At 58.6% G+C, this 27,768-nt stretch overlaps 1 protein-coding gene across 14 annotated transcripts, besides 12 other annotated features; it reads left to right on the plus strand.

The window, feature by feature from the left end:
- Positions 5,974-6,283: a silencer, noted in NCBI's record as "silent region_3740". NCBI's record gives its function as "represses an Ori minimal core promoter by ATAC-STARR-seq in GM12878 lymphoblastoid cells {active_cell/tissue: GM12878}" and the evidence as "EXISTENCE:reporter gene assay evidence [ECO:0000049][PMID:35858748]".
- On the plus strand, positions 6,254-27,329 carry RELT (RELT TNF receptor). Of its 14 annotated transcripts, none has more exons than NR_189152.1 (11): positions 6,254-6,354; positions 18,967-19,036; positions 20,406-20,480; positions 20,610-20,776; positions 20,999-21,078; positions 22,066-22,323; positions 23,692-23,772; positions 24,081-24,172; positions 24,332-24,589; positions 24,942-25,140; positions 25,299-27,329. NR_189152.1 is itself a non-coding variant. In NM_001425248.1 (11 exons), the coding sequence occupies exons 2-11, from the start codon at positions 18,992-18,994 to the stop codon at positions 25,344-25,346; spliced, it is 1,317 nt and encodes a 438-aa protein (NP_001412177.1). In that variant the 5' UTR covers positions 6,254-6,354; positions 18,967-18,991; the 3' UTR covers positions 25,347-27,329. The 14 variants fall into 14 exon arrangements, 12 of the variants coding, with proteins under 12 accessions (NP_001412177.1, NP_689408.1, NP_001412179.1 ...); NM_001425248.1 differs by having other exon boundaries at positions 23,668-23,772; positions 24,091-24,172; NM_152222.2 differs by having other exon boundaries at positions 24,091-24,172.
- Positions 6,314-6,603: a silencer, noted in NCBI's record as "silent region_3741". NCBI's record gives its function as "represses an Ori minimal core promoter by ATAC-STARR-seq in GM12878 lymphoblastoid cells {active_cell/tissue: GM12878}" and the evidence as "EXISTENCE:reporter gene assay evidence [ECO:0000049][PMID:35858748]".
- Positions 6,694-6,773: a silencer, noted in NCBI's record as "silent region_3742". NCBI's record gives its function as "represses an Ori minimal core promoter by ATAC-STARR-seq in GM12878 lymphoblastoid cells {active_cell/tissue: GM12878}" and the evidence as "EXISTENCE:reporter gene assay evidence [ECO:0000049][PMID:35858748]".
- Positions 6,939-7,233: an enhancer, noted in NCBI's record as "tiled region #2034; K562 Activating non-DNase unmatched - State 1:Tss". NCBI's record gives its function as "activates a minimal TATA promoter and a strong SV40 promoter by Sharpr-MPRA in K562 cells {active_cell/tissue: K562}" and the evidence as "EXISTENCE:reporter gene assay evidence [ECO:0000049][PMID:27701403]".
- Positions 9,320-9,399: an enhancer, noted in NCBI's record as "active region_5236". NCBI's record gives its function as "activates an Ori minimal core promoter by ATAC-STARR-seq in GM12878 lymphoblastoid cells {active_cell/tissue: GM12878}" and the evidence as "EXISTENCE:reporter gene assay evidence [ECO:0000049][PMID:35858748]".
- Positions 14,966-15,205: a silencer, noted in NCBI's record as "silent region_3743". NCBI's record gives its function as "represses an Ori minimal core promoter by ATAC-STARR-seq in GM12878 lymphoblastoid cells {active_cell/tissue: GM12878}" and the evidence as "EXISTENCE:reporter gene assay evidence [ECO:0000049][PMID:35858748]".
- Positions 16,029-16,978: an enhancer, noted in NCBI's record as "H3K4me1 hESC enhancer chr11:73097219-73098168 (GRCh37/hg19 assembly coordinates)". NCBI's record gives its function as "activates a minimal SCP1, AML or CMV promoter by ChIP-STARR-seq in naive H9 embryonic stem cells {active_cell/tissue: H9 hESC(naive)}" and the evidence as "EXISTENCE:reporter gene assay evidence [ECO:0000049][PMID:30033119]".
- Positions 16,979-17,926: an enhancer, noted in NCBI's record as "H3K4me1 hESC enhancer chr11:73098169-73099116 (GRCh37/hg19 assembly coordinates)". NCBI's record gives its function as "activates a minimal SCP1, AML or CMV promoter by ChIP-STARR-seq in naive H9 embryonic stem cells {active_cell/tissue: H9 hESC(naive)}" and the evidence as "EXISTENCE:reporter gene assay evidence [ECO:0000049][PMID:30033119]".
- Positions 16,979-18,005: a biological region, named in NCBI's record as "H3K4me1 hESC enhancer GRCh37_chr11:73098169-73099116".
- Positions 17,846-18,005: an enhancer, noted in NCBI's record as "active region_5237". NCBI's record gives its function as "activates an Ori minimal core promoter by ATAC-STARR-seq in GM12878 lymphoblastoid cells {active_cell/tissue: GM12878}" and the evidence as "EXISTENCE:reporter gene assay evidence [ECO:0000049][PMID:35858748]".
- Positions 17,927-18,874: an enhancer, noted in NCBI's record as "H3K27ac-H3K4me1 hESC enhancer chr11:73099117-73100064 (GRCh37/hg19 assembly coordinates)". NCBI's record gives its function as "activates a minimal SCP1, AML or CMV promoter by ChIP-STARR-seq in primed H9 embryonic stem cells {active_cell/tissue: H9 hESC(primed)}" and the evidence as "EXISTENCE:reporter gene assay evidence [ECO:0000049][PMID:30033119]".
- Positions 18,710-18,819: an enhancer, noted in NCBI's record as "active region_5238". NCBI's record gives its function as "activates an Ori minimal core promoter by ATAC-STARR-seq in GM12878 lymphoblastoid cells {active_cell/tissue: GM12878}" and the evidence as "EXISTENCE:reporter gene assay evidence [ECO:0000049][PMID:35858748]".
- Positions 27,330-27,768: the final 439 nt, after the last annotated feature.

The raw sequence follows: 27,768 nt of genomic DNA on the forward strand, positions 1-27,768 counted from the left end.
TCACGTGTGAAATGAGGCTGATGATCCCTTCCCGAACAGGACTGCTGCTTGGCGTGCACAGGTCTTTGGATTGCAAGAAAGAGATTCATTTTGCTTGTGAACTAGAAGGGTGCTTATTAGTGAAGATGTGAGCTGGCAGCAAGGAGCTGTCACAGGGCACTGTGGCCCAGACATCAGAGCTGCATCTCAGGACATCTGGCCTCTCCACTTGAGTCGCCAGTGCCTCCCACACTGCCAGTCAGTTGCTGTTCCACTGCTTTCCAGCTTCTGCTGCCTCAGGGCCTCCGCCTCCTCCACTCGGAGGACCCTGGGCAGACTTCAGTTTTAGCACAAGATACCCAAGACCAGATCCTCACCACTTCCCCGACTCAAGTGCCTCAGTAAGAATGGGCTTGGCCCAGCCCACTGTTACTTAGAGGCCCACATTCCAGGGCACTGGCCAGCCTGTGGACAGCCCGGACCCCATCAGCTGTGGGCAGGGAGGCCCTGGAATGAGCATCAGACCCCAGGCTCCCGGCCCAGGGGAGGCTCCTGGAAGGATTACCTCCTCTGAAGCAGTGGTTCTCAGCCTGGGATGCACATTATGATCATGAGGGCCTAGGCCAATTCCAAGCCAATTAAATCTGAACTTTGAGGGTGGGACCCAGGTGTCTATATGTTTTTCAGAAACCTTTAGTTGAAGTATAACATTTATACAAAAAAGGACATAAAAAAGGACCCAGCGTGATGGGTATTCATAAAGTGAACACACCCAGGTCAAGGAACAGAAAATCTCATCACCCCAGAAGCTCCCCTTAGACCTCCTTCTGGTCTGCCCTCCAAGGGTAACCACCACCCCGGCTTCTGACACCATGATCTAGCTTCACCAGCCAAGGTAGAGAACTGCTGCTGTAAAGGGAATGACTATGGTTAGCCACTGGTGTGGGGGAAAGTGGGGCTTGGGTTTGATGTTAAGAGGGAACGCCAGCCTGGCCAACATGGAGAAACCCCATCTCTACAAAAAATACAAAAGTTAGCCAGGCGTGGTGGCGTGCACCTGTGGTCATAGCGACTTGGGAGGCTGAGGCGGAGAATTGCTTTAACCCAGGAGGCCAAGGTTGCAGTGAGCCGAGGTTACACAGCACCCCATCCTGGGTGACAGAGGGAGACTCTGTCTCAAAAAAAAAAAAAGAACAGCTCAAACCAAGGCAAGGAGGGGTAGAGGAGCCTGGTGCAGGCCCAGGTGGATGGGGAAAGAGGAAAAGGCAGGGGCGCCTAGATTGGGAGCTCCGTGAGCGTGGGATTTTGTTCTTTGTTCCATCCCCAGGCCTGCCACAGTGCGTGACACACAGTAGATGCTCAGTAAATATTTGTTGAATTAAATCTGGAGAATTCAGGTGAGAACCAACTCTAGGTCTTGAATGCCACGAAACAATAAACCCAGCTTCCACTTAGTGTTTGCTGCAAGCCAGGAGCATGGATCATCTCGAATCCTCACAATGGTCCTGGGAGGTTGATACCATTATTACCCTCCTTTTCAGATGAGGAAACTGAGGTTCAGAGAGGTTAGATGCCTTCCTCAAGGTCACCTAACCACTAATTGATAGAACCTGGAATCTGTCTGCTCAGGTCTCTGTATCTCATGGAAGAGGAGGGCTGGCCTGGTGTGGCTGGAGGACAGGAGAGACAGCCTGAGCACCCAGAGTCACATGTAGTCACTCATGAGGCTGGACTAATGTTCCTTAGACCAGCCCTGGGAAGGGGATCCAGATCCCAGATGAGTGAGGAGAGTCAAAGCCAGAGGCCATCTCCTCTTCAAGGGAGTTCTCCAGGTGGTCCCTTGGGTTTGGGACAGGGGTCAGGGTTTAGCTAGACCATCTATCTAATGGAAAAGATGAGGCACAGAGAGGGTCAGGAACTTACCTGAGGTCACACAGAAAGGCAACATTGAGGCTGGGGGTAGCTGGGGAGGAGAGCCCAGGCAGGAAGGTTTCCTGTGGTCAGAAAAGCCAGGAAATGACCCTTAAAGCCAGGGGAGGCAGAAGGCTAGACGAGCTGGCCTCCAGGGGCCCCGTCACACACCTCAAACCAGCCTCAGCACTGGGCTGGTCCAGAGGGCTTGGAGGGAGCAAGTCTGGCTAAGGCCTTACCTTAAACCTTCTGGGCAGGGCCTGGGGAGGGCATGGGGGACCCCAGGGCTTGAACTCAAGCTCCAGCCCAGGCTCTCGGCACTGTGTGATGCCAGGCGAGTGTCTGTCCCTCCATAGACCTGGATGACCTCTGTGAGCCCTTTACATCTTCTGCATGCCTGCCAAACACCAAGTCTGTGTCCTCACAGACCTTAAGCCACAGGCCAGGTTGCAGGAAACGGCAAGGGGAAGTCTATTTTAGGCCCAATTATAGCCAATGAGGAGTCCTGCCTGGCAAAGGCAAGTGAGCTGGCATCCCAAGCTGGGTCAGAGGTAGTTTGCTGGGCTGGACTGGGGAGGGAGATAGTGAGCAGGCATCAGGGATAAATCGGGCAGAGCCCCTGCTGCCCAGGGCAAACAGTGCACCAAGGGAAGGGAGAGGAGAGAGAGCTCCTGAGCCCAGCGTCCTGGAAGAAGCTGGTGCCCCCGATATGAGGTCTCAGCAGATCCTCATAACACGCTTGGATGGGCGAGTTCTCAGAGAGGTGAAGTCACTTGCCTAAGGTCACACAGCCTGGCAATGGCAGAAGTGGGACTTAACCACTATCCATGTGACACCAAAGCATATATTCTTCCATTTTCCCCTAGATTTCTCTTCTCCAGGCTCCTTAATCTCAGATGCTTCAGCAAGCCACCTGCCTCCCTGGGCTTGGCTCACACTCCCTAGCTCTTGACCTGCTCATGTTCTGGGCCCAGAGGGTAACTGGACTGCAAGTCTCACCCTGACAGTCCCCAGGGTCCCCACCAGCCCCATTGTCTGCAGTTCATGGCTCTGGGTTCCTCTCTCAGACTCACCATGGGAACAAGAAAACCCTACACTTGCCTCCCTGAGCACCAGTCAGGTGGGCAATAGAACCTGGGATGGATGGAACTGAGAGTGCTGGGCCTCCCATGAGGGAGCCAGTGAGGCAGTCACCAAAGACTTGACACCTCCACCCCAGTGGGATTCCAGACCCAGGCCAGGGTCTGGACCTAAATGCAGGTTGAACCTGGTCCTCAGACCCAGACAGCCCCAGCTCAGCTTCTGGCCTGGCCCCAGGCTGAGCCCTATCCTGGCCTCCTAGCCTCAGTTTCCCCTCAGACTGAGCCCACCCTCCCCTGGAGCTAAGACACAAACACAGGACAGCAGCCCACCTTCTTAGGGTTAGGACTTGGCCCGCTGGGGGTTAGCCTAGGATGGAGCATTGAATTTTATTTTTTTTTTTTTGAGACGCAGTCTCGCTCTGTAGCCCAGACTGGAGTGCGATGGCACAATCTTGGCTCACTGCAACCTCCACCTCCCGGGTTCAAGCAGTTCTCCTGCCTCAGCCTCCCAAATAGGTAGGATTATAGGCGCCCACCACCGCACCTGGCTAATTTTTTTTTCTTTGTATTTTTAGTAGAGATGGGGTTTCACCATGTTGGCCAGGCTGGTTTACAACTCCTGACCTCAGGTGATCCGCCCACCTCGGCCTCTCAAAGTGCTGGGATTACAGGCGTGAGCCACCGCGCCTGGCCTGGAGCATTGAAATTTAAGTATGAGCCTGCTGTTCCTCCAGGCTTGTACTGTATGTACTTCCTTTTGGAATTCTAGCACAGCCAGCAAGCAGAGTGGCACCCACTACCTTTGGTCCATGACTCCAAGGCAGTCATCTACTCAGACCCCTGCATACAGCCACACTGTGGTGGCTCTGATTCTGTGACCCAGGATCCCCACCCCAGGCAGGGCCTGGCTGGGGCATGGCACCTGTACCCCTGCCTCCAGGTCCCCATCACAGCTCGTCCCAGTTTACTGGGACCTTGTGCTGTGTACCTACAATGAGGTGCACACATTCTCTGGGCCCACTTGCCCAGCTGTACCATGTGAAGTTCAACAAGATGGTCTCTGAGGTCCCTGAGCTCAGGGATTCCAGTGCTGACTCCATGGGTTCAGTTGAGATGCCAGGATTTTATAAAGCCTGTGATTCTGAGAGTCCTTTGTTCTCAAGCCTGTGGTTCCCCAAGCTCCATAAAAAGCGAGTCTAAATCTTTCCTGTGGCTTCCACAACTCCTTCCCTGTCTACTCACTGTGGAGCAACCCAGATGCTGGTAGACTCTCAGGGAGGAGCCCACGTCACAGTGGTTTCAGGGTCAGAGCTGGCTGCAGGAGGAGCTGGCGCATCCACCCAGCAGTAAATAATAATTAGGCTCCCTCCTAACCTGGGGGTTGCAGGAGCGAGAAGTGTTTGGGCTGTGGCCCCAGGAGACCTACTCTATGGAGCTGCTGCCAGGGCAGCCAGGTAGCCGCCTCCCACAGAGAACTTCAGGCAACATGTCTGGCACCCCAGTTTTCAGATGAGGAAACTGAGTTGGGGGTGGATTTGATGAAAACCTCACAGAGAGCTGGTGGTAGAGAGGGGCCTGGACCCTCTCTGGGATGTCTGATTAATAGCCAGTGCTCCAAAAAGCATTTCCCCATTTAGTTTATTGATTGAGACAAGGTCTCACTCTCTCACCTAGGCTGGAGTGCAGTGGCACGATCGCGGCTCACTGCAGTCTCAACTTCCTGGGCTCAAGTGATTCTCCCACATATTTTTGTAGAGACTGGGCTTCATCATGTTGCCCAGGCTGGTCTCGAACTCCTGGGCTAAGTGATCCTCCCAACTCAGCCTCCCAAGGTGCTAGGATTACAGGTGTGACCACTACACCTGGCCTTCCCCATTTGGTTTATTGAGTGACGACACCTGAAATTGCCACCATTTGAACTCTAGAACCTAGAGCTGGGGTGTAGATGGTCCCCTTACAAAGAAAACATTTCCAGGAGTGGAGGCATTCTGGATGCTCTGGCCTTCCGTAGGCTGGGATGTGGGACCCTGGAAGAACCCCTGCCCCAGCCCTGGAGGTCTCCATTGACATATGAGGGTGCTGATGTCATGATCCTGACATCAATGACCTGTAGCTCCTTATGCCCTTCCCCCACAACCTGAGCATGACCCAGGGAAATGAAAACTCATCCCCTGCTCCCCTCCCCATGCGGTGTCCAGTTCGCCTCCTGGAATCTCCTGGACCCTGGGGACCTGACCTTTTCCGTCTCCTAGCCCCTGGGTTCAGATTCTATGACTGTTTAGAACCCCACCCCCAGCCATCTATCCCCAGCTGACTTATTTACCTTCCTTTCTCCATCTCTGTCATGGGCTGTGATTATCCTGACCCCAGCCAGGCCTCTGGCCCAGCACTAGGTCCTCCCTGGTGTCTCAGTCTCCCATCAGCCCTACTGTCCCAGGAGGACCGCCTGAGATCCCCTGAATAGTACTGAGAGGGGGAACGGGCCACTGAGCTGCTCCCTCCAGTCCTGGCACACCCTGTAGCACAACTCCAGGGGACACGATTCGGAGTCGGAATACAGTGTGAATACTGCCTGGAGTTTGTGATGACTGGCATTGGAAACTGGCAGGGTGGGATGGCTGTAGTAGGGAGGGGGGCACTGAGTCACCTGTCCTGCTGGAGGGAAACTAACTACCCTGGCACAGAGAAGTGGTGCGGGGAGTAGGGGAGTGGAGGCAGGAGACGCCTCCTGGAGGATTTCACTAGGCCTTGAAGGATGTGCCGAAGCCCACCGTGTGGGCTTCCTTTATAGACTCACCTTCACCAGGCCTTTTCGCCAACTAGGTGAGGGTTTCCAGGGTTGGGCCTGGGCCTCGTCAACAAAGCAAAGTGAGGTTATTCTTCCTGGCCACCAACTGGCAGGAGGAAGATGAAGCCCAGAAAGGGGCAGAGGTGGCTCTAGTTACACTGGCAATGCTGAGAGGACCCAGAGGAGTATCTCAGTCTCCAGTCTCTTTATCTTGCTTCGCACAACTCCTTGCTTGGTTCAGAGCCTTGAAGAGGCGGATACAAGAGGCCCTCTGGGCACCGCCGCCCAGTCCCGCGCAGCCCCCTGCAGTTCCCAGGGGCGCGAGAGAGGGCGACGTAGAGCAGCACCGCCCAGCGGCAGAGCGGCGAGCCCCTCCGCGGCTCGGGGTGAGTCGGGCGCGGGGCGCAGACCGCGCTCTGACGTCGGGGGCGGAGCGGCCGTGACGCGCGGGGGCGGGTCTGCGCACCTTCCCGGCCCAGCCGGCGATTCATTCAAAAGGCGCGCAGGCTGCGCGGCTGTCCGGGCGCTCGCCGAGCCGGGCCGCGGCGCCGAGTCGAACGGGGAGCCGAGCTGGAGCTGCCGCGGCGCAGCCAGGTAAGGAGGGCGCGCGGAGCGCCCATCCAGAGTCTGCTCTCCGCGGCCGGGCCAGCGGGATACGGACCCTAGTGGCGCCCCCTGCCTCCCCGTGTCTCTGAGGAAGTTCGCGGGCTCGGCGGATGCGGCAGCCCGGCCGCGCGCCCCCCCACCCCACTCCTCCCGCCTCGCGTCCTGTCCCGGCGCCTTCCGCGCACCGGCCACCGCCAGTCTCCGAGCCCCGTGACCTGCAGGTCCTCCGGCCGCGACTCCGGGCCGGCCCTGCGTGGTGGCTGTCGGGGGGCGCGCGGGGAAGCAGCGGAACTTGCGGTGTGAGGGGCCGGCGGGGCCCGGAGCGGTCCCCGGCCCGGGAAACTTGGACCGAGACCAGGTTGTGGTGCGGGCTGGACGGCGGCGCCTCGGCGCGGCTGCGGCGCGGGGCGGCCAAGGGGGGGTCTGGATGGTGTCAGCCCGTGACTGTGGGTGACACGGCGCGTGAGGCGGCCTGGCCGGGCGAACGTGTGGCTGGGACACTGGGCGGTGACGCCGGGCCGAGCGGGCGACACAGAGGGGCTCTGTGTGTGGGAGACAGGCAGCGTGTGTGCGTGTGTTGTGTGAGGGAAAGACCCGGGGTCACTGGGGTCACGAAGTGCGTGGCTTGGGGCGTGACCGGCGCAGGGCCAGGGCCACCCGTTACTGTGAGTGTGAAATAGAGGGAGAGGAGCCCAAGTGACTGAGAACGAGCCGAGCTCGCTGGCGCCATGGTGTGCGTGTGGGGTCAAGTGGTGTCAGTGTGTGTGTGTGTGTGTGTGTGTCTGCGCCTAGGGTGATGATGAGTAAGAGGCAGGAGGAGGAGGGACCGGACCTAGGACACCTTCCGGCAGATGTGGGGCGATGAGGAAGTTGGGGAGCCAGGAGACAAGGGTCTCCAGGACTGTCCCCACGAGGGCACCCCTCAGGAGTTCAGCTTGGTGAGGAGATGGACCCTGAGGGATAGGCCCTGGCTGAGGGAGAAAGCCGAGGCTGGGCAACATCTGGTGGGGTGGCCCAGATGGCAGCAGGGTAGGGGCCCTGTGGTAGTCTCAGCTTCCCCCCGCCCACCTGCATCCACACACTCACGCATCGAAGTCCCTACACCTGGCAAAGTTCTGCCCCTGTGTAATCTGTATTCTCAGCGGACCCGGACACAATCTTGTTCTCAGACCCCCCCGCCCCCCTCCCCCGCGCAGGCCTCAGTCTCCCCATCTGCACACTGAGGTGCTGGGCTTTGAATGGACTGTGAATCATCACTTTGGGATCCTCTATTGTTTTGGGTCAACTGCCTGTGTTCTCCCTTCCCTTCAGGCAGAAAGACTGCAGTGGGGGGTGGGGGCAGGCTTCTCCTGGGGACACAGCGGCCCAGGGGCTGCACTCAGGGGCTACTGATAGGGTTGGAAGCACAGCCTTCTCCAAAACTGGTCAAGGAAACGTTAGCCTCCCACCCAAAGGCTTCCTGGTCCTCTGTCACGAAATGGATCCATAGACAATATGGATCCCCAAATCCATAGACATTCACTTCTCTGCCTGGGTGTCCTTTCTTCAGTTCCTTGGGTTGGGGGAGAGTGGGGAGAGACTTGTTCCCCAGGAGTGGTCTCTGGTCTGGGAGGCTAAGTTCTTGCTGGAGAGCTGGAGCGGTACCCTTTCGCCATCTGGGCAAGACCCTTCTGAGGCCCCTTCTCCCGTATGAAGGTCTGTGGGGTTCATGCAGGGTGGGGTGGAAGCTGAGCTCCCTAGTCTAGGAGAGGGTGGCACTTGCTGTAGAATCTGGAAGTTCTGTCTTCTGCTGTCGTCCTCTGAAAATGCTGATTACATTCTAGGGGTGGGGGACAGGGTGGGGGACAGTGTCAGGCACTGTTCTGAACACTTCATGGTGTTCTGTCTTGTTGAATCTTCGCAGTGATTCTGAGATGTAGTGACTGTGTTTCAGAGAAAGGAACTGAGGATCAGAGAAGCAAAGTGACTTGGCCAAGGTCATACAGAGTCAGGACAGTGCCAGGACTGGAATTCAGGTCTTCTGACCCCAGAGACCAGTGAGATGCTGGGAGAGAGGATCACCCACCTTCCTAATAACTGCTCATGGCTTTCCTGGACTTCTGTCTCTCAAACTTGGGCTAGTAGGCGTGGCCTAGCCAGGGCATTACATTGTGAGTTCTAAGTATGATGTGTGTGTGTGCACACATGTCTGGAACACTGGGGATGGGTGGGTTACATGGTCTTCCTGTTCCTCCCCAGACTTCACTCCCAACCAGACATCACCAGAAAGTCCTGTCCCCTGCCTTCTAGAGCCTGGACCTGGCTTTGGGGGTGTCCCCATGGCTTTGAAGAGTGTATGGAGTTAGCAGCACAGCCTAGGGGTAGCAGGGAAAATTGAGAGTCCCAGGTGACCTTCATCATACTTGAGAGGCCCCCTCCCCTTTGCAGTTGCTCTAGAGGCATTTCCCCAAATCCACCTGCATGTTATGGTGGGGAGCAGACAGGGAGTGACCTTGAGCTGGTCCCTACTCTCTCTGGGCCTCGGTCTCCCTGTTCTTCCCAGAGACCCCTTTTGGCTCTGACCACTGTTGCCACTTGGCCAAGAACTGGAACTGGGGATCAGGGTGTCCCTCGGTCCTCTCTGCAATGACTGGAGCTGTGCTTCTTGGGGCTGATGAAAATAGCTGTCGTGGTCTCTAGGGGCTGAGCCGGAGTTATTTCCATCCTCAACAAAGAGGTGGAAATAGCTTAGGGCCTGGGAGGGGGAGCAAGAGGAGAAGGGTTAACTTCTCCTTATCCCAGCCTTAAAGGAGGCCCCCAGCCTCAGCCTGTGCCCTGGCCAAGCCAAACCTTTCTGGGAACTTGGGCCTCTGGGGATGACAGTGGGGCCAGGCTGGGTTTCCACTTGTGACCACAGTTGGGACTGGTGTGATAGCTGCTGGAGGGAGGGCCCTATGTCTAGCCAAGGAGGGGAGATATTGAGGGCCAGTCAGCACCTGCCCCTACTCATAGGGTCAGGCCCAATCTCATTTCACAGAAGGAGAGATTGAGGTTCTGAGAATTCAGGGACTTACCCTAGGACTCCTAGAACCTTCACCTTCCAGACGCGGTACCTGCCTTCTGTCCTGAGTTTGTCATTCTGTGTCCACACTTTCCCTGGCGGCTGGAGGTTGGCCAGCACTGGAAGCAGGCCCAAGACACACCTTCTGGACGTCGGCCTGCCTCATATTCCAGCTCTGGCCTTGCCATCCCTGCCCAGGCTCTGGTTCTAGCTTCTGTGCTTCCACGTCGGCTCTCCCGCACACTGCCAGAGTGACCTCCATAAAATAACTTGCTTTTCGCCTACAAAGTGTAGTTCAAACTCCTCACCTGGCAATGAGGCCTTTCCTTCCAAGGCCTTTCAGAATTTGCATCTTTACCCTCGCCTCTCCTTGCCAGATGCCTTGTCTGCCTTGCCTTTGCTTTTAAAGCTTCCCTCTTTCTAGAACCCTCTTGGCCATCCAGACTATAGCCCCAGCTCCACCTCACCCAGGAAGCCCTCCTGGCCCGAAATTAGTCTCCCTTCATTGTTGTGGGCCACCTGCCAGGTGTCCTCCCTCACTGCTGGGGAATGGGCACAGGTTTGGGGCACCTGTGGGTACCGCATGCTCAGCTTGGTGGGGCCAGCGTGGCCAGTAGCCCACCCCCTCCCACTGCCGTCTCTGTGCTGACGAGACCTCTTCCTGAGGAAGGGCAGCTGCTCTAGGATCCCAGCACCTGTGTGCTGGGAGGCACCGGGAGATTTGCACCCAGGTCTCTGGTGCTCACCATGACCTGAGGCAGAATGTGTGCTGGCGGGTGGGGGCAAAGACTCACGGCCACTCCTGTGGGTAGGGGGCAAGTGTAGTGCTTGTCATGGTCCTCGACATCTTGAGCCAGTAGAGGCAACTGTCCCTGCTCAGGCCCTGTAGTGTGCCAGGCTCTGGGCCCAGCATTTCCTCACAACAGCACTCACCCGGGCCCTCTCCTTTCCAAGTTGGTATGGGGGAACCTCGACTCAGAGAGCAGCCCTAGGCTGAGTCACGCAGCCACTTGTGTTGTAGTCAGGTACTCCAGATCCTACCCAGCCCCCAGCCTGGTCTCCAGGCAGGAGGTGAGGGTCGAGGGGTTTGTCTGACAATTCTAACATTAGTTTCTCAAGAAGGGCCAGGCTGGTCAGCACCCAGTCTGGCTGGGCGGGACCTGACTACTTCTGTTATGGGGCCAGCCCTTCTGCCAGGTCAGCAGGAGAGAGGACCAGAGAGGAAGGGGTTTTGCCTGAGGTTACTCAGCAGGGTGTGTTTGGCGCCATTCCCCACTCAGGATCGATGGGGGAGCAGGGATGTGGTCTCTGGACAGGGAGAATACCCACTGTGTGCTGAACCCGTGTCTTTCTGGGCCTAGGCTTGGTGCTGCTGAGTGGGGCTGGAGTGGCAGAGAGGACAAGAGCCAATGCTGCATCCCTACTCTGCCCATCCGTGGGATTATGGCCCGGGAGGCTGTCACATCCTCAGCCTTATACTCCTGGGGGTCATCATTCCCTCCAAGCACAGGCAGGGAAACCAAGGCCTAGAGAGAGGAGGCACTTGCCAGGCCCCAGTGTCACTGGGATCCAAACCCAGGTCTGCTGGCCTTGAAGACCAGAGTTCTTTCCTAGGCCACTCTGGGAAAGATGAGAGCTCTATAAATAAGCTGCCCATGTGGCTGTGAGCAAGTGCCCTGGCTAGTTGTCACAGACAGAGGGGGACAGCGGGACCTCTACAGCCAGTTAGAGTCAGGGTCTGAGTGTGCAGGTAGAGAGAGGAGTGGGGGCTTCCAGAGGGGGGACCTGCGCTTAGCCCAGTGCATGCACTGTGAGGAGGAGCAGTGAGAGGGGAGGACCTTGGCCACCCACACCACCAGCCTGCTGCATGCCTGGCCTCCTGCACAGACCCTTTCCCTCCCTCCCTCAAGGAGCCTCACCCCTTCTCGAGGAATCAAGGGAGACTGAAAACTGATGGCAGGGGTGAGGGGTGGGGGAGTCTGGAGAGGAGAGGGGGCCCTCTTGACAGGGAGGCTGGGGAGGCTTCCTACAGGAGGGGATGCCTGGCCCAAGGCCTGATTGTAAGAAGAGCCCCTGTTGCCTGTGAACGCTGAGTCCTCCACCACACCATGAGGTCAGCTGCACTGGTGTAATTGGGAAACAGGCTTGGGAAGTTGGGGCTGGGTTCCTGACTGCTGAACTACCCCTTACATTCCTGACCATGGCCCTGGCTGGTGTGGGAGCAGGTGGACGTAGGCCTGTACAGGGGCTGGGACATGGGCACCCAGGGCCCTCCCAGAGAGGCCGAGGCCCCTCTACTTGTGCTGCCAGGGTTTACGTGGAGTTCCCCAAAGCACTCTTGCCACACCCAAGCCTCTGGGTGACCTCGGCTGGCTGTTGCTTGGTCCTGAGCTTGGGTTCCTCTGGCCCTCGTGGAGCTGTGTTGAGAGCCCTCAGTATCCCATGAGGCAGGGACTAGCACCCCTGTTTGCAGAGGAAGACCCCGAAACTCAGGGAGGGTAAGTAACCTGCCCAAGGCCATCGATCTGCGAAGTGACAGAGCCAGAGTCTGAACCCTGGTGGGTTGCTCCAGGGCCCAACCTTGTCTCCTCCCTGCTCCACCACTGCACTTGCACTGACCCCAGTCCTCAGCGTAGCTCCACTGGGTAGGACCTGACCTGGGATGGCCCTGGGGGCGCCTCTTTCCCCAGCACCGCAAGTCTGGGGAGAGTTGGAGAATGGGGCAGACCAGGGCTGTGGTCTCCCCCAAGTCCCTCCCAAAGCCTCTGCCCAGGTCTTCCAGGTCAGGGTGATTGGGGGCAGGGCCCATGCTGAGCACATTAGGGACTTGGGATCAGTTTTATGGCCGGGGCAGGTGGCAAAGGTGGCTTCTTGGAGGAGGTAGCAGAGCATGAGCCGGGGCTGCAGTGAGGTGTCCTTCAGCACCCCCAGACCCGTTGCTGTCCTGTCTCAGGGCCAGGGTTGGCAACACAGGGCTGTCTGTGGTGCTGAGAGGTTGACGGTGGCCAGAAGCAGTGGAGATACCAGGCCTGGGTGGCTCAGGCAGGGGTCGCCTGCCAGTTGCCCCTACTCCAGGGTAGGTAAACTTCATCTCCTTCAAGGTGAAGTTGTTACAGGCTACCACTTGACCTCTCTGAGCCTCAGTTTTTTCTGTGTGAAGCATGGAACACTGTCTTTGAGGGGTTCAGTGAGACCCAGCTTAGAGTGGGAAGGGGACAGGCAGTAGTGCTCAGTGAGGAGGGTTAGGGAGCCTCCTCTCTGCCCGAGATAACTGTCTGGTCTCAGACATCCCTCCTCTAGCCCCAGACTCGGCCCAGGAAGTGGGGCAAGGATTGCACCTGTACCATACCCAGACTGGGAGGAGCTGGGTGGGCCAGGTGTGGCCACCTCAGCCCTTTTCTTGGCCTCAAGGGGCCAATTTAGCCCCCTTAGCCTCAGCCCCACCCCATCCACCTGAGCCACTGAAACCCAGGCCTGGTGGCAGCCAGGAGGTCTGAGGTGCAGAACCATGCCCAACTTCTGGGGGTGTTGCTGAGAGTGGGCTGGGGAGCAGCTGCTGCCTGGCCTCGAGGTGCTCCCCAGCCCTTGAGGGACTGGTTTATACCCCATCGTGGTGACCTGGGAGCTCATGGCTGCCCAGGGCTGTGGGAGGGGGCAGGAGTGGAGCACCTGTCTCACTGAGTGGCCCTGAGCCAGCCTCTGCACATCTCTGAGCTTCCAGCAGCAGCCCTAGTAAGCTGGGGTTCCACCCTGGGACCTCTTTTTCCCCGCTCTGGGAATTCCCAGACTTCCCCGGTCTTCCTGCCTCTTTCAGTTCACAGCTCCCTTTCCTGCCAGAGCTGGCACAGACTAGAACAATATGCAAATGAGTATAGATGCAGGCAACTCCTAGAGGCCCCATGGGATGGCGGTGCAGACAGCACCTTCTCCTGGGGCCCTCCTGGGTCCTTAGTAACAGACCCTCAGTTGAGCCACCTACTGGGTGCTACTAGCTTGCTAGCCTCCACCATCAGGTTGGCAAACACTGCAAGGACATTTACTATGTGCCAGGTCCTGGGCTAAGTTGCAGGGCAAAAGGAGGCAGAAAAGAGACAGTCCTGGGCTCCATTCCTGCTTCATCTCTTACTGGCTGTGTGACCCCCGCCAGTGACCTCCCCTGACCTCAGTTTGCCCAGCTGTGAAACAGGAATGCTCACTTCTCCTGCAAGGAAAGGCAGCAACCCAGGATGAGGGCCCGGCCTGCACAGGGCTGGGGTCCATTCCTTTCCCTGTGAGTGTGGAAGAGGGAAAGCCACTCAGCGTGGTCGCTGCCCTACTTCAGCCCCACTTGCCAGGGAACCGCTGGGCTCCTTGCTAACCTGGATTTCTCTGTTGATGGGTGGCCTTTGTCTTCCTGCCTTGGGTGTGGCCACCGCCAAGGGAGGCCTGTGTCCAGCTGTGTTTCCAGGCAACCCTAGCCTCTGGAGGCCAGAGGGAGGTCCACAGGCTCAGGAGCCACTATCTGGGAAGCAGAGTAGCTGCCTCCCTACCTGCCCTCCTCCAGGTGGGCACCAGCCCCCACCTCCATCTCCCCCAGTGCGGCCTCTCTTAGCAGGCAGCCTGGGGAGCCTGCTGAGACCGAACTGTTCATTCTTCTCCATCCCTTGCTTAACCCTTCCTGGCTCCCATAGGCCCTAGGGGGAAGTGCAGGCTTTTTGGCAGGCAGCTGAGCCTTGGTGTGACCTGAGCACTGCCCACCAACCTTCCCAGACTCCTCCAGACTCCTCCCGTCTTCTCCGCCCTCCCACCCTCCAGATTCCCACCAGGGCGAACCCAGCACCGCCTGTATACCAGACTCTGTGCCAGGCACTGAACGTAAATAAAAGGTTTGTGCCCTTCTCCTCCACATTCCACACGTAGGGAAACTGAGTCACAGTGAAGTGTGGGGAATGCTTACTCTGTGCCAGGCCTGTGCTGAGTACTTAATGTGATTCTCTTCTTTCAGCCTTACCACAGCCCTCTGCAGGCAGGCCACAGAGCCAGTGCAAGACAGAGCAGAGCAGGACTGCACCCCATACTTTGTATCCCCAGGTTAGCCCAGGGGTTCAGATCTGGGTTCTGACCCACCCCAGCCTCTGGGCTCCTTCCCCCTCAGCCTGCTCACTGGCTCTTCTAGCTCGGCATAGCTGGGCTCTCTACCAAGAGTGCCTTTTCTGCCTTCTCCCCCAAATCAGCCCATACCCGCCCAGGTCGGCACTGGGCATGGAGCAGGCAGCTCGTGGTGGGGAAAGGGCTGGGTAATAGGATCTGCATGGCACCATGAATGCTGAGGGGGAGGTGGGGGAGAGGGTACTTCCAGGAGGAAGTGACTTCGAGCTGAGCTCTAAGGAAGAGTGGGTGCTGGCCAAGCGATGAGGGGAGAGCAGAAAGCAGGTGCAGCGTGTGTGAGGGTGGAAAGCACTCAGCGTGGCAGGCGTGTGGGTGGGGGAGGTTGGTGGGGGCGCGTCACGACGCCATCCTGAGGGTGGTGGGAGCTGGCCCAGGGCCAGGGCCAGAACTGGGTGTCAGGGCACCTAGGCTGCAGGGCGGGACTGACCTGGAGGCCAGAGACAGGGCAAGGGGGCAAGAGCAATGGGCGCAGGCCTTGGGAGAGCTTAGGGACTGTAGGGAAGGGGAGGGCCCTGCCTAGGGGAGGGGGAGTGGCGTGGCAGGGCCCGGGTGACCCCAGCGAGCTTCAGTTCTGGGAAAGGGGAAGCTGCCTGTGGCCTGGGCTGGTGGCACAGCTTCCTCTTTCTCTGAGGCCTCCAGGCTGCACCTCCCTGGGGCTCCACCATCTGTGGCCTCAATCGTGGTCTGGGGCCCTCAGCTTGGGGGTCTGGCCGTGGCCTTTGCTAGTTGGCTTTTCTCCAGGGAATTTCTGGTTCTCATTGTTCGGGCATTTTTTTGGAGAGCTGAGTCTGAGGAAACCCTCCCCGCCTCGTGAGCCTGCTTGGAGGCCTCCCGCTTCAGACATGGGGCTGGGTGTGGAGTTTTGTGGCAAATAAAACAGACGTCCCTGCCCTCACCACTGTCTGGTGGGGGAGCAAGGAATAAACAAGTAAGCAAACAAATACTTAATCACAGCCCTCTGCCAGCAGGGCAGAGGAGAAGGGCTGTGGAGAAGGAAATCCCATGACCTACTTTAGCTTCATTACCTCCTTTAAACCCCATGACTGGCTGGGCACAGCGGCTCACACCTGGAATCCCAGTACTTTGGGAGGCCAAGGCGAGAGGATCGCTTGAGCCCAAGAGTTGGAGACCAGCCAGGGCAACATAATGAGACCCCGTCTCTACAGAAAATAAATTTAAAAATTTAGCCAGGCATGGTGGGGCATGCCTGCAGTCCTAGTTACTCAGGAGGCTGAAGCAGGAGGATCACTTAAAAGTTCAAAGTTGCAGTGAGCTGTGATCGTGCTACTGCAGTCCATCCTGGATGGCAGAGTGAGACACTGTCTCAGAAAAAACAAAACAGAAATTCCCCAAAAACTTCGCGACAGCCATGCCAGCAAGATGAACGTCCCCATCTCTGTAGATGAGAAAACTGAGACCCAGTGATGTGAAGGTCCCAAAGGGAGTTGGTGGCAGTGGAGACTGGGCCCCAGGCTAGGAGACATGGGAGGAGTGGCCTCTAAGCCAAGTTCCTTCTCTGCTACCCCCCTGGGGCCCCTCCTCCCCATCCAGTGTGGCTGGGTGTGGCTCTCCTCTGTCAGGCATCGGAGGCTCTGGGGCCTCACTGACTGCCCAGCCTTTAGGATGAGGCAGAGACGGATATGGGACCTTCAGATATCCCCTCCCAGCCGAGGGGGCTTCCATCTAACTGTTTTTTTGGTCACGGTTCCAGGGCCGTTTTAGACAGTGGAGGCCTTGTGGGGCAGGGTGTGAGGGGTGCTGAGCAGCAGGTGTGGACATGTGTGTGCACCAGGCCTTTCTACCTGACCGGGCAAGTCCAGTGGGGGCTCAGTCTGGGCTGAGTGTGGGGGCCGGGCAGCCAGACTGGAGTAAGTGCTGGTTTGGGGTAATGAGAAGGTGCGTAATTAGAAGGTGCAAGGCCCTAGGTGGCAGTGTCTATGCGTGTGCTGGAGTGGGCCCTCGTTGGCTTTGAGTCTGGGCCTTTGGACCCCGCTTTCTTCCTGGAAGGTTCTAGATCACACAGCTCTGCGTCTGTCTGCAGATGAGCAGCTGCACAGCTGCTCCCTGTGGGCTCAGGTCACCTAGCAGGTGCCACCCAGGGTTGGGGTGGTTCTAGGGCTCTCTGCTGTGGTTGCTTGGCCTCTTTTCACCCCCGCATCAGCCCTCTGGGCCTACCTTGGGGACATGGAGGGCTGCTAGAGCTGGGGGCTGGGCTGTTGGGTTGGTCACGGTTCCCCCTGGCTTTGTCTTTTTTTTTTTTTTTTGAGATGGAGTCTTGCTCTGTCGCCCAGGCTGGAGTACAGTGGCACAATCTCGGCTCACTGCAACCTCCACCTCCCAGGTTCAAGCGATTCCCCTGCCTCAGCCTCCCGAGTAGCTGGGATTACAAGTTGTACCACCACACTGGGCTAATTTTTGTATTTTTACTAGAGACGGGGTTTCAGCATCTTGGCCAGGCTGGTCTTGAACTCCTGACCTCGTGATCCACCTGCCTCTGCCTCCCAAAGTGCTGGGATTACAGGCGTGAGCCACCATGCCTGCCACAGCCTGCCCCCACCCCCAGCATCAGGCTCTGTCTTGCGTAGTCAGGCCTAGTGGGGAAGTGAAGCCTGAGGACTTGGGGCTCGTGGTCAGGTCTGTGGGTTAGATCCCTCAAAGGACAGAGGAGGGGCCATGGGGAGACAGGCTCGAGGTGGGAGCTGGGCCCTGACAAGGGCACAGGACACTTTGGGGCAGAAACTGGAAGGAAGACTTGTGACCAAATTTAAGGAGTGACAGGGGACCCTCCCCAAATAGCCTGGGGGTGCCATCTGTTGGGTGTTGACTGCCAGGTGTGGCCTCCACCCTATACTGTGGCCCTACCTTCTCCTGTCCCTGGCTTTCCCCTGAGCTGGCCTGGGACCCAGAGTGGCTGCCAGTGACCTGGAGAGTCCTGAGATGATGTAACTGCTGCCCACTCCCTCCCCTGAGTGTAACTCAAACCCTGGGCCCCTCTGAGATCTGCCAAGAGGGAGGGCGGGTGGACAGATCGGTTTCCTGGGCTGCTATTCTAGGTGGGAGGGCCGGGCTGCCTGCAGGGAGAGGACTCTGAGTGATTTGGGACTACCACAGGAGGCGCTTTTCTCACCTCACCGGCCTTGGAGTCACAGCGGGGGCCTCAGCCGCGGCGGCCCTGAGCCAGTGGCTGGGTTCCCAGGCTGCCCCTGGGCTTAAGAGGCTGCGTGTGGCCTGAAGAGCACGGCTTTCCTCAGCCTCGTGCCCCTGAAGCCAGGCCTCCAGGAAGTACACAGCGGACTTCCTTGCTCTGCCACCTGTCCCTTCTGCTGTCTGATGTGAATCCTTTGTCCTGCTGTGTCCGCCTCGTCCACTGGCCGGAGGCTTCTCCAGAGCAGGCCACCGTCTGGGCCTGGGGGCCTCAGTCTCAGACCGGTGGGCCGTGACGCCACCATGGATATTTCTCTGAAGTATCACACACTGCACTCCCACTCTGCTTTATTTCGTTTCTTGGCACTTACCACCAAATGGCAGGGGCACCTCTCTGTTTGCAGTTGGGTCTCCCCTGGGATGGAGCTCCCTGCAGACAGGGACCTTGTCTGTCTTGTTCATACCGATTTCTCCAGTGCCCGCACGCAGTAGGTGCTGGAGAGATGACAAAGACAGAGCACTGGCTGCCGTGACCACCCCAGCCCCATAGGTCTGCCAGGGGAAGAGCTGTGGCCAGACATGTTCCAGCCTCAAGGGAGGAGTCAGCCTCCCTGGAAGAGGTGTGGACAGTGGCCATGCAGAAGGACCAGGACCTAGATGGGGTGGGGAGCTGTGGGAGCCAGACCCACTTTGGGGAAAGCTTCTAGAGAAGCTTCTGGAAAGAGAGGCCTTCGTGTTGAGCTTTGAAGGGTAAAGGAAAAGGCCTTCCTTGGACCAGAACCAGCAGGAGTGAAGGCAGAGGCCGGGCATGCTTGCAGACCTGTGAGGAGGAGGCGGGGGGAGCCTGAGCCTGGAGCGCTGGGCTGGAGTGTGGAGGCCGGGCTGGGGTGTTGGGTGTTGGTTGCAACCCTGTCATCACGGACACAGGCCGCCACACGCGCTTCCTTCCCCTGCTGATGCCTCGGGGCACCTGGCAGTTTAAGGAAGGGGAAGGAAGCCCTTCCTCCTCTGGGAAGCCTCCCAGCCTGCAGAGCCTTCTTCCTGCCTTCCTGCCTGTGCTGCCCCGTGAGGCCGGCTCCCAGGCAGGGCAGCCCCCTCTGCTTGGGCCTGTGCTTGCGGGTGTGGAGCCGGCCTCCCCGGGCTCTGCCTGCCCAGCAGCACCTTGCCTGCTCCCCATGAGTCCTGTCATCCTGGAAGTGGTGCTGAGGGGACAGCAGCTGCCTGCCTGTCCCTGCCGCTCTGCCGAGCCTCCTCTCCATCTGCCCTAGGCCGGCGACCACCAGGGGCCTGAGGATGAAGCCAAGTCTGCTGTGCCGGCCCCTGTCCTGCTTCCTTATGGTGAGCTGGGGATGGGCCCTGGGAAGGAGAAAAGCCGCACCCTCAGCCCTGCAGCCCTCCAGCAAGAGGGTGCAGACACTCCCGGGGAACCCCCTGCTGGGCAGGGCTCAGTTACTCAGCTCGTCAAGAATCTGAGGCAGCTGGACCCTAGGAAGCACCTCTGGGCCCACCCAGGCTTGTCAGGGAGATGGAGAATGAAGGGCTTGCTGGCATTTATGGGCAAGGCAGGCATGGCTGAGGGCAAGATGCCCATTGGCACGCAGGCATGAGAACGGAGCCCAGCCCAGAGGGTATGCTGGGCACCAAGAGGAAACTGGGCAAAAGAGGCCTGGGATTTGGACCCTGAGAGCCATAGCACCTCAGGTGCTGGGGTTCAAGATCTGTATTGGTCTGGGGGATCCCAGATTCCAGGTCCCAGGATCACAGGATCAGGCCAGCTGCCCGGAGCTGCAGGCAAGTCCACATTACAGACTTGCAGCATCTTGGGGTCTGCCCTGGGGCCCATCTTTCTGCTGTGACGCTAGAAGCTCAGGGAGGGTGAGACTTGGCCTTGGGCCTTGCTAAGGGTTGCTCCATGTACAGGAGGCCTTCCAGCCTTAGCAGGTGCTGGGAGCCGCTCTGGGGTCTGAGGAGATCCCTATTCCATCTCCAGGGCAGCTGATGGTAGCCTCATCCAGCCTAGGCCAAATTGGGGGACTCTAGGAGGGATTCAGGAGAGACAGTTCATTCCTAAGAATGGGAAGCAGAGAGAACTCCTAGTGAAATGGGCTGGGGACACACACTGAGAAGATGGAGCTTTCTTTTGGGATGCGTCTCCCTGTTTGGGTGTGTGGGTGTGAATGGGGTAGCCTCGCCTTGAGGGAAGATTGCAGAGGAGGATGTGGTCCTGGAGACTTTCGCTGAAGGGAGAGCCCAGAATAGGAAGCGCCACCTGCAGACTTGGCTCCAGGGATTATAAATGAGGCTGGTTAATGATATGCCCAGCTGTGATGGGGCCAGGGATGGACCCAAAGTAGGAGGAAGTGGGGGCAGAATACGAGAGAGGATTCGGAAGCATTTCCTCCTCATCGTTCTGGTTAGCTGGAAGGGCTTGAGATCCTGATGTGGCCTTATCTGGGGCTTTCCAGCACTTTCCAGAGCCAGATGTGGCTCTCTCCTTGCCCAGGTACTGGTCTTGCAGCAGGTCTGGGACAGGACAGGTTTTCCTCAGTGTGAGGGATTGAGGTTAGAAGAGTGTGTCCCTGAAGCCCGGGTGGGGTAGTCAGTGGTCCCTACCACTGGGGTTTCAGGAAATAGGTGGGGGATAGATGACCCCAGAGACCCCACACCCAGCACTTTCTGCCTCTTTCAATGCCTACTGTTCTTCTAGCTGCTGCCCTGGCCTCTCGCCACCCTGACATCAACAACCCTTTGGCAGTGCCCACCTGGGGAGGAGCCCGACCTGGTGAGCATTGCCCTGCTCTCCTGCCTGTCCTGGGAGGGCCCTGAGGGCCAGGGGCAGAGTCCTGTGCCTGGCCCCCAAGGGTCCTCAGGCTTGGCTCCTGGCCATGCTCTCACCCTTTACCTCCCACAGGACCCAGGGCAGGGCACATTATGCAGGCCCTGCCCCCCAGGCACCTTCTCAGCTGCATGGGGCTCCAGCCCATGCCAGCCCCATGCCCGTTGCAGCCTTTGGAGGAGGCTGGAGGCCCAGGTGGGCATGGCAACTCGAGATACACTCTGTGGAGACTGCTGGCCTGGGTAAGCCAAAGGGAGTGCGGGGAGGGCTCCTGGCTGGGTGACCAGGACTCTGGATCCTGGGGCCCCAGCCTTATTGTACCCTGAGCAGGCCTCATTCTTCCCATCTGTGAAATGGGATGGGGCAGGACCACGGAGGGTGCCTGGTAGGAAGGAATCCAGCCTCTCCTAAGGATAGTGTTTGGGGAAACTTCTGGGCCTCAGTGGTATCTTCCCTCCTCGCAGGTGGTTTGGGCCTTGGGGGGTTCCCCGCGTTCCATGTCAACCATGTTCCTGGGCACCTCTGGGTACTCATGGCTGTGATGGTGAGTGGCAGACTGGGGCTAGGACTGGTGCAGGGGTATGTGCGGGAGGGGCCAGTGAGTTGGAGCCCAGCAGCCTCTGCAGTGTTCATGTGGGGGCAGTGGGGTCCTTCTTCCAGCCCAGGGCAGGGCGTGCAGCCAAAGGGTCTCCAGCAGGGCACAGTCAGCCGCTCCCCTGGCTGTTTCTGCCCACCATGCTTCCGAGTGGCAGAGAGTGTCCTGCAGATGGCAGCCACAGCTGGGGGCTGGGGACTCACATACTGACCTGTCCCCTGTCCCCATCCCTTCAAAGAGATTCATGCCAGCCAAGTGCAGTGGCTCATGCCTGTAATCTCAGCACTTTGGGAGGCCAAGGCAGGAGGATCACTTTGAGACCAGCTTGGGCAACATAGCAAGACCCTGTCTGCAAAAAATAAAAATAAAAAATTAGCCGGGCGTGGTGGTGCTACTCGGGAGGCTGAGGCGGGAGGATTGCTTGAGTCCATGATTTTCATGCTGCAGTGAGCTGTGATCGCCCCACTGCACTCCAGCCTGGGCAACAAGTGAGACCCTGCCTAAAAAAACCCATGCAGATGAGTGTGCGCATGCAAACACTCACATACCCACACGCACCTCCTCCCGCCACTGAGTCAGTCACCCCCTGAGGCACTAGATTCATGGCCAGGCCACAGGGAGGCAGATCCCACGTCCCTGTGCCCAGACATGTGTCCTGTGTGCCATCTCTTCACCCCCTGACCCCAGCGTGAGGGGAGGGTGGGGCTGGGTGTCTGGCCGTCCTGAGGAGGCCTTGTTCAGGACAATGCTTCGATGGCCAGAAGGGAAAACAGGAGGGCAGTGGGTTGACCTTTGCATCCCCAGCATGGCGGGGAGTGGGCTCCCCTGGGCACATTGGCTCTCCTGCAGCCCCCACTGACTCGGGCCCTGGGCCCCTGTCTCTCTGTGTTTGTGTCACTCTGCTTTTGTCCTGCCTCCATCGTCTGTGATGCTCAGAGTGGGGGCGGCGGGCCCGACGTGGCGTGGAGGTGGCAGCAGGGGCCAGCAGCGGTGGTGAGACACGGCAGCCTGGGAACGGCACCCGGGCAGGTGGCCCAGAGGAGACAGCCGCCCAGTACGCGGTCATCGCCATCGTCCCTGTCTTCTGCCTCATGGGGCTGTTGGGCATCCTGGTGTGCAACCTCCTCAAGCGGAAGGGCTACCACTGCACGGCGCACAAGGAGGTCGGGCCCGGCCCTGGAGGTGGAGGCAGTGGTGAGGCCCAGCTGGGGTCCAGGTGGGAAGGACGGGGGCACGAGCCCAGCCCCAGCTCCACTTGGGGGCTGCCAGCGGAATCCTGCCTGGCCTCTGGGGTCTGAGAGGGAGAGGCTTGGGAGGTGATAGCTGCAGACTGACAACATGGGAGGAAAGGTAAGGGGACGAAGGTGTGGCCGTGGGGGCAGAGCAGAGGTGGCACAGCTGGTCAAGTGGCTTCAGTGGATCCTACCCTGGGTGAAGCCTTGCCCAGATGTGGGGATCTGGACTCTTTGGAGGCCACAGTTGTGTGTATGGTTCCAGGGTCGGATGGTGGCCTTGGAGTTACTCAAGGTGACCTCTGACCTCTGGCCTGGAGTAGCAGGAGTGCCCTGTGGCAGGAGGGCTGGCAGGGCAGCTGTCCTGTCCTGGGCAGGCACCATAAGGGGCTCGGGTTTTGGTTCCAGGCTGTAGTTTGAGTTACAAGGCCTGGAACCGGAGGGACAGGCATGCGCCACCACCTTCACCCCCAGGGCCCCGGGCCCCTTTCCTTCTTCCCCACACCACTACTCCCCTGCAGGGCAGGGGCCCACTCGCACACACCCTGCCCTGGGCCCATGGGAGCCTGTGGCTACCTCAAGAGTGAAATGGCATCTCCCATGCTAGCACCCTCGGCTGTCTGGGGCTGGCATGGGAGCCAGAGACCCTTCTAAGTCCTGACACTGAAGTCTGGCGGGGGCAGGAAGCGGACAGGAGCAGTAAGCCGGCAGGAGGAAACGTGGTGACTCAGGGCCATTTTGCCTGGGACTGTGCTTGTTTTCCTAGAGACTTCCCTTTAACTGCTGGATGCTGCCTGGGTGCAAGTCCTGGGAGCTCTGTTTGCTGCTGGGCCCAGGGCTGATCATCGTGGCCCATTCTCACACCCTTGAGATTTGGGCCCAAAGCTGACTAGGGGCACTCAGTTAAATTGTTACATAGGGCACAGTAGAGAGGCCATGGAATAGCAGTTTGCTGTAGATTTGGGGAGTTCTGGGTAGGGTGGCAGCCCACAGCTCCTTGAGGCTGAGGAGGAGACAGTGCAGACCCAGAAGACGCTGACGCACCGCCCCCTCGCCCGCCCAATTCAATGACTGGAGTTCACGTGGCCCTGAAGCCTCTATGCACCCGGGCTGTTGGGTGCAGGAAGCACTGGTGTTGAATCATGAAGGTGATATGGGCTTCTCTGAGCCTGGATCCCACATTTGCAGGGCTCTGGGAGGCTTGTCACCTAAATGCACATGCTCAGGGCCCTTAAGAAGGCCAGGGTTGCCCTCTGCTGGCAGATCATGGTTTAGCTCAGGAGTGCGGCTTCCCCCTCTTCCCCAGGATCAGGGCCCTTCTCTTCCCCAGGAATCAACCCTGCCTACCGGACTGAGGATGCCAATGAGGACACCATTGGGGTCCTGGTGCGCTTGATCACAGAGAAGAAAGGTGAGGAGAAGGTCTGACCCCATCCCAGTGCCCAGGAGAGGAGGGTTTCCTCCAGGAGCCTGTGAGGCAGCCGCGGTGGGCAGAGTCTTGCCCTGCTCTGCCTTCCCTGCCAGGGTGCCTCAAGCAGCCTGGTGCTCTCTGACCCAGGAGTGCACACCTCTGCCTCCCATTCTTGCCTGATGAAGTGGGAGGAAAAGGCGCACAGCCCAGGCTGGGAGTGGTGGTATGGAGGGTAGGTGGGGGGTTCTCTGCTGGGGCAGGGGGTGGGAGGTGTGTCCCATATGGCCACAGTGAGGGTCTGACTGCAGCTACCCACAGAGAATGCTGCGGCCCTGGAGGAGCTGCTGAAAGAGTACCACAGCAAACAGCTGGTGCAGACGAGCCACAGGCCTGTGTCCAAGTGAGTGGGCTGGTGGGAGATAACGGGGCCAAAACCTACATTAACCAGCCTGCCTCCTGGGGATCTCCCACTTGGGTCTCCCTCAAGTCACCCTGTTCCCTGCTGGGGTCTCCTGCCCCTGGCCTGGCCTATGGCCACTTCTGCCTGTGCCCCCTGCAGGCTGCCGCCAGCGCCCCCGAACGTGCCACACATCTGCCCGCACCGCCACCATCTCCACACCGTGCAGGGCCTGGCCTCGCTCTCTGGCCCCTGCTGCTCCCGCTGTAGCCAGAAGAAGTGGCCCGAGGTGCTGCTGTCCCCTGAGGCTGTAGCCGCCACTACTCCTGTTCCCAGCCTTCTGCCTAACCCGACCAGGGTTCCCAAGGCCGGGGCCAAGGCAGGGCGTCAGGGCGAGATCACCATCTTGTCTGTGGGCAGGTGAGATGGGCACAGATGCAGCAGGGGCAGGTAAAGACGTGACAGCCTGGGGGCCGGGAGGGGGAGGCAGGGCCCCAGCTTGGGCCCTGAGCACCCTGCTCAATGGGAGCCCTGCCCTTATTGGGCCTCTCTGGGCAGTGGAGGCGGCCAGAGAGATCAGGACTTTCCGGTTATGTTGTGTCTCACATGGAGCCCTTGCATCCCTAGGGCAGCATCTTGGCCCCCATGGCACCCGGGCCTCTCAGGCTAAGGCTCTGGTCCATGAACTTGCTGTGTGACCCCGGGCACGTGCTGCCTTCTCTGTGCCCCGGGATCCCCGCTAACGGGGATGATTGCCCCACTCTCCTCACAGGTTCCGCGTGGCTCGAATTCCTGAGCAGCGGACAAGTTCAATGGTGTCTGAGGTGAAGACCATCACGGAGGCTGGGCCCTCGTGGGGTGATCTCCCTGACTCCCCACAGCCTGGCCTCCCCCCTGAGCAGCAGGCCCTGCTAGGAAGTGGCGGAAGCCGTACAAAGTGGCTGAAGCCCCCAGCAGAGAACAAGGCCGAGGTGAGAGTCAAGGAGAAAGGCATCTGTTGGCACCTGGGCCAACCCTGACCGAAGACGGGGCAGGGGTGGAAGTGCAGCGGGCCCTAGGCAGGGGCCACTTTCCTGGAGCCAGAAGCCAGCCCCTGACTCAGCTCTGACCCCTCACCCCTGCCCACCAGGAGAACCGCTATGTGGTCCGGCTAAGTGAGAGCAACCTGGTCATCTGAGGGGCGGTCTAGTCTAAGGACACTGCGGCCCTGCCCTGGGAGGTTCCGAAGGCTTCCTGGAGGAGGTGGAGCTGCAGCTGGGACTGTGAGGACCGAGAAGCAATGGCCCAGCAGACGAGACAGCAAAGACCAAGGCCTGGAGGTGGGAGCGTCTGCCCCAGTGAGGAGGCAGGTGGCCGGCGGGCACTGTGTACAGGAGCAGGCTGAGCCCCGCCCCTGGCCCTGCTGCCATGTTGCTCCCCTGAAGGATGCCCCGACCCCCGTGCCTGCCCTGGCTGGATCCTAGGAGCCCACGGGATTCTCTGTATCATCAGAGGCTGGGCTTGGCAGAGGGGAGGGGCCTGTGCCCGTCACCCCTGGCCCCATTCCTTGGTAATTAGCCACACCCTTGCCTCTGTACAGGGCCCTAGAGCAGATGTGCGTCCCCCTCCTCTTCCAGCAGGTCTATAAAGGGAAGGGGTAGCAGAAAGTCCTGGGCTAGGAGAGTGAGTCCCTGGGTTCTAATCTTGGGCACATCTGTGGCCATCGCTGGGTCCATTTTTCTGACTGTGAAGTAAGGAGAGACGTCTCAGTACCCAGGGCCTCTTCAGCTCTTTGTAGGTTCTGGGCTGGGTTGTGGGGGACTGGGGAGCTGGGCTCTACCATCCCTCCCATTAGTAGCTTTATCCAGCCCCGTTTTTGCTGCTTCCAGGGCCTCTGCCTTCAAGGCCCCCATGGGGCTGTCCATCCATGGCTCTGCCTACGGAAGGGGCTTAATGCATGTGCCTGCCCCTCCCCCAGCTGTTTTTAATGAAACTGAAAAAATAGACTTGATCCCGGCAGGACTGTGATACAGAGCCCTAGCCTGCCCAGCCAGCCCCAAGATCTCAGGAGCTTTAGGGAGAAGACTTGGTGGGGCTGGAGCACACCTTGGGCCTCAGTGGTTTCTGTGTCCCTGTGGTGCCAGTGCTTCTGGGCAGTGCAGGCGGCTGCCAGGCCCAGCCCTGACTTCCACTCTGGCTCAGCAACCTGGTTATTTATGTGGGGCCGTGCAGGCATGGGCCCACTGCCTGTCCATCCTGTTTCTCTTATTTATTGAAACTCACCATTGCCCTATCCTTGTGTCTCCACCCCCTTCCATGTGTTGAATAATAAAAGGTGGGAAAGTGCTGTCACGAGGAGCTCCTTTTCTCTGTGCCCTTCCCAGCTTATCCGCCTGTTCCACTTGTACCTGTCCAGCCCTGCCCTGTGTTGGGCACCGTGACAGGCTGCCCTCCCCTCACAGTTCCTGCACCTCAGCAGCCAGGGAAGCAGGGCCCAGAGGAGACCCATCAACTCATCTGGTTCTCACCAAAGCCCCTAGCTAGAGGCAGGGCTGTCCCACAGAAATAGTGTGAGCCACATATGTGACTTTAAATTTTCTGACAGTCACATTTCAAAAAGTAAAAAGAAGCAGGTGAACTTAATTTTTTTTTAACCCAGTCTATCCAAAATATTTTCATTTCAATATAAAATCAGTATAAAAAGTGTGAATGAGCTGTTTTTGCTTTTGCTTTGAAATCTGGAGTGTATCTTACACATCTTGATTGGAACTCAAATATTTCAAGGGCTCCATAGCCACGTGGCCAGCAGCTACCACACTGGTCAGCGCAGCACCTGAGGAAATGCACTGTGTGGAGCCCGGGAGGTAATTGGGGGTGAGGAAGATGTGCGGGCCAGGGAATGTGTTCCACAGAGAGGGACAGCATGTGCAAAGGCTGAGCACCAACACATAGTGGTCACCTGGGCCTTATGCCCAGGGAGCCTCCAAAGCATTCAGCTCCTGCTTGGCCAGTGTGGAGAGGAAAGGAGCCACAGGAGCGGGTGCTACACCCGGCAAGACAGAGCGTCTCCATCTAAAATTCCTAGGGCAAGCTTCCAACCCGGCCCAAGGGCCGCATGTGGCCCAGGATATGGCTTTGAATGGGGCCTAACACAAATTCATAAACTTTCTTAAAACATTGAGATGTTTTTGCTTTTTTCTTTTCTTTTTAGTTCTTCAGCTATTGTTAGTGTTAATATGCGGCCCAAGAAAATTCTTCCAATGTGGCCCAGAGAAACCAAAAGATTGGACACCCCTGTGCTAGGGTTTGGTAATGGGAAATGGGTCGGGGGCTTAGGGCCAGCTGGGTGGGGCAACAGGAGCAGTCCTGGGGGCACCTGTGACACAGCCATGGAGGATGTCCCATGCCATCCAGATGTGAAGGCCCAGAGCTCTCAGGAGACAGACCTGGAGACAAGAAGACCTACAGGCACTCAGGTGGGTGTTTAGGCCAGGACTGGGCTGGGAGGAAATGTCCTGGGGACGATGCCTGGGCTGCTCCAGGGCACCACAGAGAAGGCACTGCTAGGGAGGCAGGAAAGAAACCAGGGAGGGCAACGTCCGTGGCAGTGTCCTGGCAGC

This window comes from Homo sapiens, chromosome 11 (genome assembly GCF_000001405.40).
Source record: "Homo sapiens chromosome 11, GRCh38.p14 Primary Assembly".
In the NCBI taxonomy this organism is placed as follows: domain Eukaryota; kingdom Metazoa; phylum Chordata; class Mammalia; order Primates; family Hominidae; genus Homo; species Homo sapiens.

Coding starts and splice junctions, on each gene's coding strand:
- RELT (NM_001425248.1), top strand. CDS start 18,992: ATGAAGCCAAGTCTGCTGTGCCGGCCCCTGTCCTGCTTCCTTATG. Junction 24,173..24,331: donor AGCCACAGGCCTGTGTCCAA/GTGAGTGGGCTG, acceptor TGCCCCCTGCAG/GCTGCCGCCAGCGCCCCCGA. Junction 25,141..25,298: donor CAGCAGAGAACAAGGCCGAG/GTGAGAGTCAAG, acceptor CCTGCCCACCAG/GAGAACCGCTATGTGGTCCG.